This window comes from Homo sapiens, chromosome 11, assembly GCF_000001405.40.
Source record: "Homo sapiens chromosome 11, GRCh38.p14 Primary Assembly".
Taxonomy (NCBI): domain Eukaryota; kingdom Metazoa; phylum Chordata; class Mammalia; order Primates; family Hominidae; genus Homo; species Homo sapiens.
The window spans coordinates 56,929,301-56,945,114 of NC_000011.10; the positions used below are offsets into that span (position 1 = coordinate 56,929,301).

Genomic DNA, 15,814 nt, shown 5'->3' on the forward strand with positions numbered 1-15,814 from the left:
TGCCCATTTTCCTCCTGCTGGTGGATTCTAGATGATTTCTCCTGCCTCAATTCAGGGTTACAAGTGGGAGCGGGCTCAATGGTTCGCTTTTTCTGTCTCCCTTGGTCCAAACCAGAGACTTTCAAGCACTGCTTGTTCTCCTGATTACTTAGAAATAGCAACCCGACTCTCCTTAGGCAAATTTACTATCTCAAACGTGTTCCCCACTCAGTGTTATAAATAGCCCACCTTGTAAATCTCCAAACAGACTTGGTTACTGTGTAATCTGAAGAAAGTTGGGAGATTTAGACAGATTATATAAGGAAACATGAAATCAATTCAAAAAAGGTGCTTGGGCCAGGCTCACATCTGTAATCTCAACACTTGGGAGGCCAAGGCAGGAGGATCTCTTGAGCCCAGGAGTTCAATACCAGCCTGGGCAACATAGAGATTTTTTGAGCAACTAGAGTTTTGTTTTTTTTAGAGATTCTGTCTCTAAAATAAATAAATAAATACATAAAATTCATAATTCAAAAAAGATGCTAGACCATCCGATTCTGGGCTCTTCTTTGCTGGGAGGTTTTTGATTACTGCTTCACTCTCCTTAATCATTATTGACCTGTTCAGATTTTCTTTCTTCATGATTCAGTCTTGGTAGGTTGTATGTTTCTAGAAATTTATCCATATATTCTAGGTTACTCAATTCGCTTGTGCATAGTTGTTCACAGTAGGCTCTTATGATCCTTTGTATTTCTATGGTTTACAAAAATGTGCAAACTAAACAATGTGCTGTTTAAGGATTCATAAATATGTAGTAACATGATAAAGAGAAGCAAGAGAATAGTAGACACAAAAATGAGGATCATAGTGGGGGAAAGGTGCTAGGTAAGAATGAAAATGTATAAGTGAGGTAAATTTTAATTTGCTTAGTAGGCTGTTAGTTAATGAAAATGATCATTTTTCTGAACTCACTATCTCAAGTGATGTCTCTCTCTCACCCTGTGGTGACTGGCATTTGCATTTGGTGAGGCATTAGCCATATTTTTATTGCTTGTTCAATATACTTTCCAGAGGAGGAGAACCAAAGCCTACTGCTTTCACAGCTTTGAATACCACTGAGCACTGAGTTAAATTCAGATGACTGATCCTGCAGGTCATTTTATTTCTAACCTTCAGGCTATAGGGCTCTGCTTTATGGGCATAGAAATGAAAGTGGCTTCATCAACCAGGCTCATGTCTCTTTAAACTAGATAACTCCTGGCAGTTATGTTATAGCCCTATCTGAAACTCTTCAATGGATTCCCATGACTCTTGGAATAAAGTCCAAACCCCAAGACTGCCCCATGGCCACTACCCAACCTTGTACCACTCTGGCTCTTGCTATCTCTGTTTCAGCCCACTGGATCTCTTCAAGTCTTCACACTCTTTTCTGCCACAGGCTCTTTGCTCCTGATCCCAATGGCTGAGCCATTTTGTCAACTCCCTGCCCTCACTCCATCTCACCTGGTCAATCCGCCACTCACTTTCAGATCTCAGCACTATTATCACATCTCAGCATAGCTTTATCCACAATCCCAGAGTGCTTCCTCACTAAGTCAAGCCTTCCTGTGATACACTCTGTAGCAATTACCATGGGTATAATTTTACATTAATTTATGTGGTGTGTTAATTTCTTTGTCTCCCTCTCTAGCCTGCAATATCCATGAAGCAAGGATTTCTTGACATGTTAGAGACACTCAGTAAAGATGTGCGAAATGGAGGAAGAAATGAATGGATGGATGGATGCTAATTCTAAGGGACTACAGCAAAAAAAGTCCTCCTTGGCCTCTCTCATGGAAATCCATCCTTTTGTTTAACAACTCACCAAAAGAAACTTCTCCTGCTCCTTCATTTTTTATGTCTGTACCTTAAGCTTAACTATATACCTAGAAAATCATTTAAAGTTCTCTTATTGCAAGAATTTTCTGATTCCAAAAATATGTTTATGTAATTTCTTCCAACTAGATAAATTTTATTAAATATATGAGAATAATTCCATATTCTAATTTTGAATTGTTTTAATTTTATCATGGTAAAAACACTTTTTATGAGCCGGGCATGGTGGTTCACGCCTGCAATCCCGGTACTTTGGGAGGCTGAGGGGGGCGGATCACGAGATCAGGAGATCGAGACCATCCTGGCTAACATGGTGAAACCCGTCTCTACTAAAAATACAAAAAAAGAAAAAATTAGCCAGGTGTGGTGGTGGACGCCTGTAGTCCCAGCTACTCGGAAGGCTGAGGCAGGAGAATGGCCTGAACCTGGGAGGCGGAGCTTGCAGTGAGCCGAGGTCGCACCACTGCACTCTGGCCTGGGAGACAGAGCCAGACTCCGTCTCAAAAAAAAAAAAAAAAAAAAAAAAACATTTATTATGACATCTATCCTATTAACATTTTTAAGTGTACAATACAGTATTGTTTTCTATAAGCACAATATTGTGAAGTCTATCTCTAGAACTTATTTATCTTGCATAACTGAAATTTTATACCTGTTGATTGGTACTTCCCATTTTCCCCTTCCTCCAGTCCCTGGCAACCATCATTCTATTTTTTGTTTCTATGCCGAAGGAGTTTGACTATTTTAGATAACTCATGTAAATAGAGTCCTAGAGTATTTGTTCTTCTGTGACTGGCTTATTTCACTTAGCATCATGTCTTTAAGTTTAATTTATGTTGTTGCTATTACAGGATTTCCTCTTTCTTAAGACTGAATAATATTCCATTGTATGTATACACCACATCTTTAATTCATTTACCCATTGATGGACATTTAGATTCTTTCCTCATTGTGGCTATTGTGAATGATGTTGCAATGAACATCAGAATGCTAATATATCTTTGAGATTCTGATTTCAATTTTTTTGATAAATATCCAGAAGTAGGATTGCTAGATAAAATTATTTAATTATAAGGATCTACCATCAATAAGTACTGATATATGCCCTTTATGGGCATTATTGCATTTAATCCTCAAAACAGGCCCATTGGGCATAGGTGCTATAATTAACCTCATTTTTTAGATATAAAACCTGAGGCTTAGGGAGGCCAAGCAATTTGCCTGATGTTGCAGGTAGAAATTGGTGGAGTGGAGTTTCAGACCCAGGAATCTCTAACTCCACAGTCAATGCTCTTTAATTCCCATGCCAGGAAATCCAAAGTAAAAGGAAGTAGCATAAATTCCAGCCAGGGAAAATTCATCTTCTTTACAGCTATCTTCAAATGGCTTTCCCTGATCCGATTTTCTCTAAAGCTTTACTCTTCTTGGAAGAATTAGGTAGGAAGAATTTGTCTGCATTTTTAGTTGGACATCAAGTAAGAGTGCCTGGATTAGAAGTCAGAAATCTAGACTCTAATTTCATTTTATTAACTTAGTATCCTACAGTGAACTTGGCCATGTCACTTCCACGCTTCATACCTCAATCCCCACATTTGTATAGGTGCGATGCATAATATTTCCTGGCCTATGTGCATCATAGGATGATTGTGACAATTACATGAAGTAAGACAAATGCAATGGTTTTATAAGCTGGCAACACCAATTCACATTCTAGTTACTGATATTCTTGTAATGAGGGTTCTTCCCATCCTAGATCCACAAAAAGCATGAAAGGCCACAGAGTCACCGAGACCTACAGGATGGAAAGACACTGAATCATTTTAACAATGACAGGGTACCTTTCCCCAGAGGCTTATGAGAGGCGTATGACTCACAAGTGAAAAAATGATTTCTCTTGTTGCAACAAGTAACATCGGTGAGTCATCTTCCACCTCTGACTGTAATTAATCCCCTGGTACCAGCCTGCAGATATCAGAGGCTGTGGGGCAGGTAGCAGGAAGCCAAGATTCTAGTTATCCAAACTTCTGATTAACCATGTGAGTGCAAAATTCTTATTGTTGGAAATCTTACCAATGGCATATAATATAATATTTGTTGCCTAGTCAGTGTAAATAAAGGAAGGTTTTATCTGCTTTCTTGCTAGTCAGAGACACTTCTGGCACAATCCTAAAAGTGCAGAATGCATAGGAAATTAAACTTGAGCTCTATTGAAGGCAGGGATATACTCAGTTATATTTTCTTTCCCAGAACTGTTTATGAAAGTTTGAAAATACAGCAATGTTGAAATAATTTTATAGTGAATATCTATATGGCCATCACTTGATTTCAACATTACTATTTCAGTAAATTTCCTCCATCCCGTGTCTATTCATCTACCCATCTCTCAATATATCCATTAATCCACTTTATTTTTATGCACTTCAAGTAAATTTCCTGAGGGTACTTTTAAAACTAAACATCAAATAATTTAGACAACAAAGTATCTTTTTCCTCTTCAATAAAGAATTGATACAAATTCAGAACACTAACAGGAAAATTCTAGACTTAAGCTTGACACTTGACCAACTGGACCTCATAACCATCTACGGAATATTCCACCCAGCAACCACAGAATCACGCAATATATCTTTATAACAAACTGTACATGTACCCCAGAATCTAAAATAGAAGTTGAAAAACAAAGTGGCAAAAATTGTGTAGCAGCCGCATCTCTAAGAAAACATAATGTAGTTATCATTTCTGAAAAATCAATTATTAACTCCCCACAGAATAGACCTTCTCATATATAGAGAGCTATCATATATAGATATATGTAGATATCTATATATATTCTCATATATACTTATCTCTCATATCAGAGACATATCTAGAGAGAAATATCTATGTATCTATCTAGAGATATATAAATAGAAAAATAGATGTCTATATATAAAAATATATATAGATATATAGATATAACAGAGAGATATATGAGATATATATATATAACTTCATGATCCTTCATATATATCTTTATTATTCTCTTTCATTTGCAACATTAATTGAGCACTTACCATTTATCAGGCATTGACCTAGGTGATGTGAATGAAGAGTCAGAAGCCCTACCTCTAGGAGTTTATATTCTAGTGCAGAAGGCAGTCAATAAACAAGTAAATGGAAGAAAAAACAAGATGATTACATTTAAAGAAAATAAATAGGATGAGGTGAGAGAGAATGATAAGCAGGGGACTAGATTAGTTCAGGGGGTCAGGCAGAAGGGAATCTGAGAATATTGAAGGAGCCTGCCATGACATCCTGAGAAGCAGAATCATCAAAGGCAAGTGCAAAGGCCCTGAGGCAGGAGCAAATTTCTGTTCGGACAGCAGAGTAGGAGGCCTATGTGACTGTAGAACTGTTTGCAAGGTGGTTTCCTCACTATCACTTAAATTTCATTCCTCCATAAGTATGGTTGGCCTTGGCTTTTTGACAGCATTCGAAATAATTTCCTATTACTTATATAAGCATAGTTTTCTCTGGACACTCATCCCAGATTTAAATTACCAGGTTAATATTCCCTTTATAAGCTTTTGTGCCCTGTGCACCTCACTGATACAAATGATCTCTGCCTGTGCCACTCACAAGACTGAAAACTCCATGAGAGCAGTGATTCTGTATGCTGTTATTCACCATTTCATCCCTAGCAATGTATCCCTAGCAATCAAATCCTTAGCATTTTATCCTAACAATGGACTGGGGTCCACTGTTTGGCATAGAGACATAGAGTGGATGTTCAATAAATATTTTAGTAATGATTAGTTTGTTAGTTAATTAGAGCAATGATAGATAAGCCTAGAAAGTTAAACTGAGCTCGTATTGGGAAAAAAAATCTAAAATTCTAGCTGAAAAGTTTGTGCTTGGTTTAGTAGACCAGATGGGTCCATAGAGAAGAATGCAAAGAAACCTGACATGAGATCCTGATGGGCAAGATCATGAGAGGCAAGTGCAAAGGCCTGTGAGCTAAGGAGTAGTTTAATTGGAATTGAGCTCTGGAAAAACCTAACTTAAAACCACACAAAGGAAAGACTGGAAGAGTGAATAGCGTGGAGGTGGAGAGATCAATGAAGTTCCTATTGTGAAACCTGGGTGAGAGATAATGAGTTTGGCTGATAATAAAAATATGCAATGTAAGGGAATACACAGAGACACATTGTGGATACTGGATCCATAGAATATGGTAAGTAATTAAACATTCAGGGGAACCCAAAGACACCCCAAAGTTTGGATTGTAGGTGGCAGCAAAGTAGAGGATGAAGAAAACTAGAATGTGAAGCAAAAGCGAAGGGCTGCTTTTAAGCACCTTGAGTTTATGGTATGAAAAGAAAACCTAAATGAAGATGTCTAGCAGATAATTGGAAAAAATGTCCTTCTGGATTTTTTTTTTTTATACTTTAGGTTTTAGGGTACATGTGCACAATGTGCAGGTTAGTTACATATGTATACATGTGCCATGCTGGTGTGCTGCACCCATTAACTCTTCATTTAGCATTAGATATATCTCCTAATGCTATCCCTCCCCACTCCCCCCACCCCACAACAGTCCCCAGAGTGTGATGTTCCCCTTCCTGTGTCCATGTGTTCTCATTGTTCAATTCCCACCTATGAGTGAGAACATGCGGTGTTTGGTTTTTTGTCCTTGCGATAGTTTACTGAGAACGATGATTTCCAATTTCATCCATGTCCCTATAAAGGACATGAACTAATCATTTTTTATGGCTGCATAGTATACCATGGTGTATATGTGCCACAATTTCTTAATCCAGTCTATCATTGTTGGACATTTGGGTTGGTTCCAAGTCTTTGCTATTGTGAATAGTGCCACAATAAACATACGTGTGCATGTGTCTTTATAGCAGCATGATTTATAGTCCTTTGAGTATATACCCAGTAATGGGATGGCTGGGTCAAATGGTATTTCTAGTTCTAGATCCCTGAGGATCTTAAAAGGAAAATAAGGACAAAAGATACCAACTTGAGCATACTCCCCGAAGAGTTAACTGAGGAAAATAGTAGAGAAAGAGACTTGATTTGACAGAGAATCTTAAAGCTGTTTTCACTGCAGAAGAGAGATAAGAAAGCAGGACCAGTAGTGATAAAAAAGGATTAACCGAGACCTAGCAGGAAACATAAGACAGTGTATGATGCAGAAGGTGGGAGAGGAGAAAGTTTAGAGGTATGGCTAATAAGCAAAGACACATCCTGAGAGAAGGCATTATAGATGCAAGCCCATTTAATTTCATGTTTGACCAACTTTGCTCAGTTTGAAAAAATTGAGTTGGGTTTATACCAAGCAGGAACTAAACATCCAGACTGACGAATGTATAGTGGATATGTTGCTACTATATCCTAAAAGGATTATTTTGCTAATGTTTGAAAGCTTCTCATCATTTTAAAAAACACAGAGAGAGATCTTAATTTGCACACTGCAAAAAACAAGTTTTATGAAATAGCACAAACATAAAATTGTAAAGTTTATGTGAAACATTAAGGGTAAATGGAATAGGATCCCCTTCTCCCTGATGACCACCTGGAAACAATGGCTGTCCCAGACCCCTCTTGACTCAACTGAGAGAGGAGGGGATCAATATTTCAGTAAATTAGGGTCTCCCAGGATGCAGGTTGGAAAGTTCTGGTCTATACCACTGAAAGGGCACATGTCCAGATTTTCCTGCTAATCCTACAAGCACAAGATAATATTCGGCCAGTTAACCTGCATCAGTTGTTAAAATACTGAGATACTACCATGTCAGCCAGTAAATAGCCACTACCCTAAATCCTACAATTCCTGCCAACCTAATCCTTTTGCCAAGAGGCCCTGACCCTCATCCCAGCCTGCGACCAAATGGGTGTGGGTGGTAGTTGAAAAGCTTATTTACAAATAAAGAAATAGCTTATTTACAAAGTAAGAAGAAAGCTTATTCACAAAAGACAAATATGCTGTCCAAAACAAAATTCAAACTCTAGGCTTCAAATTAGTTGAGTCTGACTACCTCAACATGGCCTATTTTAAACCTCCCAATTAAGAAAAACAATCAAAGCCAGAATATGTCACAACATAGTGACAAAAACAATACATATGAGGCCCTTTAAATTTGCCCAAATTATTGCAAAAATCTGAATGTCCAAATTATTGCAAAAATATGAATGTAAGATAAATAAATGCATTGCCTTAAAAAGCCTCTTATGACTCAGGCTATTTTTTCTACCCTATATTCCCATATTTGTTACATTTTATGGCACTTAAAAAAACACTTATTTCTATCATTAGCTACCCTCTTTATACCGCATCTGACTCCTTCTTGCCTAGGAAAAAGGGAACTCTTGCAATTATTTTCTATTTCTATCTTCGATAAAGATAATCTAGAAATAGGTGGACCTAAAAGCCTAGCCAGTGATCATTTATTTGCAAAAGGCATACCATTCATTTTGTTCAGGTGAATAACTTTATTTTTTTTTAATTTTATTATTATTATTATTTTTTATTATACTTTAAGTTTTAGGGTACATGTGCACATTGTGCAGGTTAGTTACATATGTATACATGTGCCATGCTGGTGCGCTGCACCCACTAACTCGTCATCTAGCATTAGGTATATCTCCCAATGCTATCCCTCCCCCCTCCCCCCACCCACCACCGTCCCCAGAGTGTGATATTCCCCTTCCTGTGTCCATGTGATCTCATTGTTCAATTCCCACCTATGAGTGAGAATATGCGGTGTTTGGTTTTTTGTTCTTGTGATAGTTTACTGAGAATGATGGTTTCCAATTTCATCCATGTCCCTACAAAGGACATGAACTCATCATTTTTTATGGCTGCATAGTATTCCATGGTGTATATGTGCCACATTTTCTTAATCCAGTCTATCTAAAATCAGAGCAGAATTGAAGGAAATAGAGACACAAAAAACCCTTCAAAAAATCAATGAATCCAGGAGCTGGTTTTTTGAAAGAATAACTTTAAACTACAGAAACTCAATGGGAATTCAAAGGGAGGTCATGAAAGCTTTGAGTCAAGAAAAGAAATTGTTTGCAGAAAAGCTTTAGTACACAGGTTGTACATCGCATCCTAATGGTGTGAATGCAATAAAGAAAACAATTTGTGGTCATTTTTATAACCTACCACACCATGGTAGATTTCTACTCAGAGTAAATTGTTTTTCAACTGACACCCAGATCAGGATATAATTCATTCTACCATAGCTGTGTAAACGAAAACCACTTAAATGAAATCTCTGTTAAGAGAAGGATGACTTTTCCGCTCATTATTGTATTCCCAGTATCTGTTAATTGTCAGGAATTTAATAGGTGGTAATTAAAATAGCTGTTTAATTAGTGAACAAGGTCTGCACATGGAAAATTCGAATGTTATCTACTAATTACAAAACTTACTAGCTACATTTCATTACAGCAAACTGTTTAGCAGTCCATGTTTTATAAAGACTTCCTAGGTCCAGTAATTGTATCCAAAACATTACAACAGAAGCTCAAATCTCCAACCAAAACTTGAAGTCAACGATTAGCAAAGATGGCTAATTTTATTTATTTTATTTTATTTTATTTATTGTATTTTATTTTTTGAGATGGAGCCTTGCCCTGTCACCCAGGCAGGAGCGCAATGGCCCGACCTCGGCTCACTGCAACCTCTGCCTCACGGGTTCAAGCGATTCTTCAGCCTCAGCCTCCCAAGTAGCTGGAATTACAGGCATGCACCACCCCATCTGCCTAATTTTTGTATTTTCAGTAGAGACAGGGTTTCAACATGTTGGCCAGGCTGGTCTTGAACTCCTGACCTCAGGAGATCTGCCCACCTTGTCCTCCCAAAATACTGGGATTACAGGCAGGAGCCACCACGCCCAGCCTCAGCTAACTTTATTTTTTTTCTATTATACTTTAAGTTCTAGGGTACATGTGCACAATGTGCAGGTTTGTTACATAAGTACACATGTGCCATGTTGGTGTCCTGCACCCATTAACTCGTCATTTACATTAGGTATATGTCCTAATGCTTTCCCTCCCTACTTCTCCCACTCCATGACAGGCCCCGGTGTGTGATATTCCCCTTCCTGTGTCCAAGTGTTCTCATTGTTCAGTTCCCACCTATGAGTAAGAACATGCGGTGTTTGGTTTTTTGTTCTTGCGATAGTTTGCTGAGAATGATGGTTTCCAGCTTCATCTATTTCCCTACAAAGGACATGAACTCATCATTTTTTATGGCTGCATGGTATTCCATAGTGTGTATGTGACACATTTTCTTAATCCAGTCTATCATTGTTGGACATTTGGGTTGGTTCCAAGTCTTTGCTATTGTGAATAGTGTCACAATAAACATACGTGTGCATGTGTCTTTATAGCAGCATGATTTATAGTCCTTTGGGTATATACCCAGTAATGGGATGGCTGAGTCAAATGGTATTTCTAGTTCTAGATCCCTGAGGAATCGCCACACTGACTTCCACAATGGTTGAACTAATTTACAGTCCCACCAACAGTGTAAAAGTGTTCCTATTTCTCCACAGTCTCTCCAGCACCTGTTGTTTCCTGACTTTTTAATGATTGCCATTCTAAGTGGTGTGAGATGGTATCTCACTGTGGTTTTGACTTGCATTTCTCTGATGGCCAGTGATGGTGAGCATTTTTTCATGTGTTTTTTGGCTGCATAAATGTCTTCTTTTGAGAAGTGTCTGTTCATGTCCTTTGCCCACTTTTTGATGGGGTTGTTTGTTTTTTTCTTGTAAATTTGTTTGAGTTCATTGCAGATTCTGGATATTAGCCCTTTGTCAGATGAGTATGTTGCAAAAATTTTCTCCCATTCTGTAGGTTGCGTGTTCACTCTGATGGTAGTTTCTTTTGCTGTGCAGAAGCTCTTTAGTTTAATTAGATCCCATTTGTCAATTTTGGCTTTTGTTGCCATTGCTTTTTATGTTTTCGACATGAAGTCCTTGCCCATGCCTATGTCCTGAATAGTGTTGCCTAGGTTTTCTTCTAGGGTTTTTGTGGTTTTAGGTCTAACATTTAAGTCTTTAATCCATCTTGAATTAATTTTTGTATAAGGTGTAAGGGAGGGTTCCAGTTTCAGCTTTCTACATATGGCTAGCCAGTTTTCCCAGCACCATTTATTAAATAGGGAATCCTTTCCCCATTGCTTGTTTTTCTCAGGTTTGTCAAAGATCACATAGTTGTAGATATGCGGCGTTATTTCTGAGGGCTCTGTTCTGTTCCATTGATCTATATCTCTGTTTTGGTACCAGTACCATGCTGTTTTGGTTACTGTAGCCTTGTAGTATAGTTTGAAGTCAGGTAGTGTGATGCCTCCAGCTTTCTTCTTTTGGCTCAGGATTGACTTGGTGATGTGGGCTCTTTTTTGGTTCTATATGAACCTTAAAGTAGTTTTTTCCAATTCTGTGAGGAAAGTCATTGGTAGCTTGATGGGGATGGCATTGAATCTGTAAATTACCTTGGGCAGTATGGACATTTTCACGATATTGATTCTTCCTACCCATGAGCATGGAATGTTCTTCCATTGGTTTGTATCCTCTTTTATTTCATTGAGCAGTGGTTTGTAGGTCTCCTTGAAGAGGTCCTTCACGTCCCTTGTAAGTTGGATTCCTAGGTATTTTATTCTCTTTGAAGCAATTGTGAATGGGAGTTCACTCATGATTTGGCTCTCTGTTTGTCTGTTGTTGGTGTATAAGAATGCTTGTGATTTTTGTACCTTGATTTTGTATCCTGAGACTTTGCTGAAGTTGCTTATCAACTTAAGGAGATTTTGGGCTGAGACAGTGGGGTTTTCTAGATATACAATCATGTCGTCTGCAAACAGGGACAATTTGACTTCCTCTTTTCCTAATTGAATACCCTTTATTTCCTTCTTCTGCCTAATTGCCCTGTGCAGAACTTCCAACACTATGTTGAATAGGAGTGGTGAGAGAGGGCATCCCTGTCTTGTGCCAGTTTTCAAAGGGAATGCTTCCAGTTTTTGCCCATTCAGTATGATATTGGCTGTGGGTTTGTCATAGATAGCTCTTATTATTTTGAGATAGGTCCCATCAATACCTAATTTATTGAGAGTTTTTAGCATGAAGGGTGGTTGAATTTTGTCAAAGGCCTTTTCTGCATCTTTTGAGATAATCATGTGGCTTTTGTCTTTGGTTCTGTTTATATGTTGGATTACATTTATTGATTTGCGTATATTGAACCAGCCTTGCATCCCAGGGATGAAGCCCACTTGGTCATGGTGGATAAGCTTTCTGATGTACTGCTGGATTCGGTTTTCCAGTATTTTATTGAGGATTTTTGCATCAATGATCATCAATGATATTGGTCTAAAATTCTCTTTTTTGGTTGTGTCTCTGCCCGGCTTTGGTATCAGGATGATGCTGGCCTCATAAAATGAATTAGGGAGGATTCCCTCTTTTTCTATTGATTGGAATCATTTCACAAGTAATGGTACCAGTTCCTTCTTGTACCTCTGGTAGAATTTGGCTGTGAATCCATCTGGTCCTGGACTCTTTTTGGTTGGTAAGCTATTGATTATTGCCACAATTTCAGATCCTGTTATTGGTCTATTCAGCGATTCAACTTCTTCCTGGTTTAGTCTTGGGAGAGTGTATGTGTCAAGGAATTTATCCATTTCTTCTAGATTTTCTAGTTTATTTGCATAGAGGTGTTTGTAGTATTCTCTGATGGTAGTTTGTATTTCTGTGGGATCGGTGGTGATATCCCCTTTATCATTTTTTATTGCATCTATTTGATTCTTCTCTCTTTTTTTCTTTATTAGTCTTTCTAGCAGTCTATTTTGTTGATCCTTTCAAAAAACCAGCTCCTGGATTTGTTAATTTTTTGAAGGGTTTTTTGTGTCTCTATTTCCTTCAGTTCTGCTCTGATTTTAGTTATTTCTTGCCTTCTGCTAGCTTTTGAATGTGTTTGCTCTTGCTTTTCTAGTTCTTTTAATTGTGATGTTAGGGTGTCAATTTTGGATCTTTCCTGCTTTCTCTTGTGGGCATTTAGTGCTATAAATTTCCCTCTACACACTGCTTTGAATGCATCCCAGAGATTCTGCTATGTTGCATCTTTATTCTCATTGGTTTCAAAGAACATGTTTATTTCTGCCTTGATTTTGTTATGTACCCAGTAGTCATTCAGGAGCAGGTTGTTCAGTTGCCATGTAGTTGAGCGGTTTTGAGTGAGATTCTTTTTTTTTTATTATACTTTAAGTTTTAGGGTACACGTGCACATTGTGCAGGTTAGTTACATATATATACATGTGCCATGCTGGTGCGCTGCACCCACTAACTCGTCATCCAGCATTAGGTATATCTCCTGATGCTATCCCTCCCCCCTCCCACCACCCCACAACAGTCCCCAGAGTGTGATATTTCCCTTCCTGTGTCCATGTGATCTCATTGTTCAATTCCCACCTATGAGTGAGAATATGCGGTGTTTGGTTTTTTGTTCTTGGCGATAGTTTACTGAGAATGATGATTTCCAATTTCATCCATGTCCCTACAAAGGACATGGACTCATCATTTTTTATGGCTGCATAGTATTCCATGGTGTATATGTGCCACATTTTCTTAATCCAGTCTATCATTGTTGGACATTTGGGTTGGTTCCAAGTCTTTGCTATTGTGAATAATGCCGCAATAAACATACGTGTGCATGTGTCTTTATAGCAGCATGATTTATAGTCCTTTGGGTATATACCTGGTAATGGGATGGCTGTGTCAAATGGTATTTCCAGTTCTAGATCCCTGAGGAGTCGCCACACTGACTTCCACAATCCTTGAACTAGTTTACAGTCCCACCAACAGTGTAAAAGTGTTCCTATTTCTCCACATCCTCTCCAGCACCTGTTGTTTCCTGACTTTTTAATGATTGCCATTCTAACTGGTGTGAGATGGTATCTCATTGTGGTTTTGATTTGCATTTCTCTGATGGCCAGTGATAATGAGCATTTTTTCATGTGTTTTTTGGCTGCATAAATGTCTTCTTTTGAGAAGTGTCTGTTCATGTCCTTTGCCCACTTTTTGATGGGGTTGTTTGTTTTTTTCTTGTAAATTTGTTTCAGTTCATTGTAGATTCTGGATATTAGCCCTTTGTCAGATGAGTAGCTTGCAAAAATTTTCTCCCATTTTGTAGGTTGCCTGTTCACTCTGATGGTAGTTTCTTTGGCTGTGCAGAAGCTCTTTAGTTTAATTAGATCCCATTTGTCAATTTTGTCTTTTGTTGCCATTGCTTTTGGTGTTTTAGACATGAAGTCCTTGCCCATGTTGAGTGAGATTCTTAATCCTGAGTTCTAGTTTGATTGCACTGTGGTCTGAGAGATAGTTTGTTATAATTTCTGTTCTTTTACATTTGCTGAGGAGAGCTTTACTTCCAAGTATGTGGTCAATTTTGGAATAGGTGTGGTGTGGTGCTGAAAAAAATGTACATTCTGTTGATTTGCGGTGGAGAGTTCTGTAGATGTCTATTAGGTCCGCTTGGTGCAGAGCTGAGTTCAATTCCTGGTTATCCTTGTTGACTTTCTCTCTCGTTGCTCTGTCTAATGTTGACAGTGGGGTGTTAAAGTCTCCCATTATTAATGTGTGGGAGTCTCACTCTCTTTGTAGGTCACTCAGGACTTACTTTATGAATCTGGGTGCTCCTGTATTGGGTGCATATATATTTAGGATACTTAGCTCTTCTTGTTGAATTGATCCCTTTACCATTAAGTAATGGCCTTCTTTGTCTCTTTTGATCTTTGTTCATTTAAAGTCTGTTTTATCAGAGACTAGATTTGCAATCCCTGCCTTTTTTTGTTTTCCATTTGCTTCGTAGATCTTCCTCCATCCTTTTATTTTGAGCCTATCTGTGTCTTTGCACGTGAGATGGGTTTCCTGAATACAGCACACTGATGGGTCTTGACTCTTTATCCAATTTGCCAGTCTGTGTCTTTTAATTGGAGCATTTAGTCCATTTACATTTGAAGTTAATATTGTTATGTGTGTATTTGATCCTATCATTATGATGTTATTTTGCTGATTAGTTGACGCAGTTTCTTCCTAGTCTCGATGGTCTTTACAATTTGGCATGTTTTTGTAGTGGCTGGTACTGGTTATTCCTTTCCATGTTTAGCGCTTCCTTCAGGAGCTCTTTTAGGGCAGTCCTGGTGGTGTCAGAATCTCTCATCATTTGCTTGTCTGTAAAGTATTTTATTTCTCCTTCATTTATGAAGCTTAGTTTATCTGGATACGAAATTCTGGGTTGAAAATTCTTTTCTTTAGGAATGTTGAATATTGGCCCCCACTCTCTTCTGGCTTGTAGAGTTTCTGCCAAGAGATCTGCTGTTAGTCTGATGGGCTTCCCTTTGTGGGTAACCCGACCTTTCTCTCTGGCTGCCCTTAACATTTTTTCCTTCATTTCAACTTTGGTGAATCTGACAATTATGTGTCTTGGTGTTGCTCTTCTCGAGGTGTATCTTTGTGGCGTGCTCTGTATTTCCTGAATCTGAATGTTGGCCTGCCTTGCTAGATTGGGGAAGTTCTCTTGGATAATATCCTGCAGAGTGTTTTCCAACTTGGTTCCATTCTCCCCGTCAGTTTCAGGTACACCAATCAGACATAGATTTGGTCTTTTCACATAGTCCCATATTTCTTGGAGGCTTTGCTCATTTCTTTTTATTCTTTTTACTCTAAACTTCCCTTCTCGCTTCATTTCATTCATTTCATCTTCCATCGCTGGTACCCTTTCTTCCAGTTGATCGCATCAGCTCCTGAGACTTCTGCATTCTTCACGTAGTTCTCGAGCCTTGGTTTTCAGCTCCATCATCTCCTTTAAGCACTTCTCTGTATTGGTTTTTCTAGTTATATATTCTTCTAAATTTTTTTCAAAGTTTTCAACTTCTTTGCCTTTGGTTTGAATGTCCTCCCATAGCTTGGAGTAATTT

At 38.3% G+C, this 15,814-nt stretch overlaps 1 long non-coding RNA gene across 1 annotated transcript in view, besides 1 other annotated feature; it reads right to left on the reverse strand.

The window, feature by feature from the left end:
- LOC105369310 (uncharacterized) overlaps window positions 1-15,814 on the reverse strand; it is a 49,693-nt gene that overhangs the window by 26,650 nt on the left and 7,229 nt on the right. The gene's annotated exons all lie outside the window — the stretch shown is intronic.
- Window positions 3,223-4,422: an enhancer, noted in NCBI's record as "P300/CBP strongly-dependent group 1 enhancer chr11:56699998-56701197 (GRCh37/hg19 assembly coordinates)". NCBI's record gives its function as "activates an origin of replication core promoter dependent on BRD2, BRD4, P300/CBP, MED14 and CDK7 cofactors, with strong dependence on P300/CBP, by STARR-seq in HCT116 cells {active_cell/tissue: HCT116}" and the evidence as "EXISTENCE:reporter gene assay evidence [ECO:0000049][PMID:35650434]".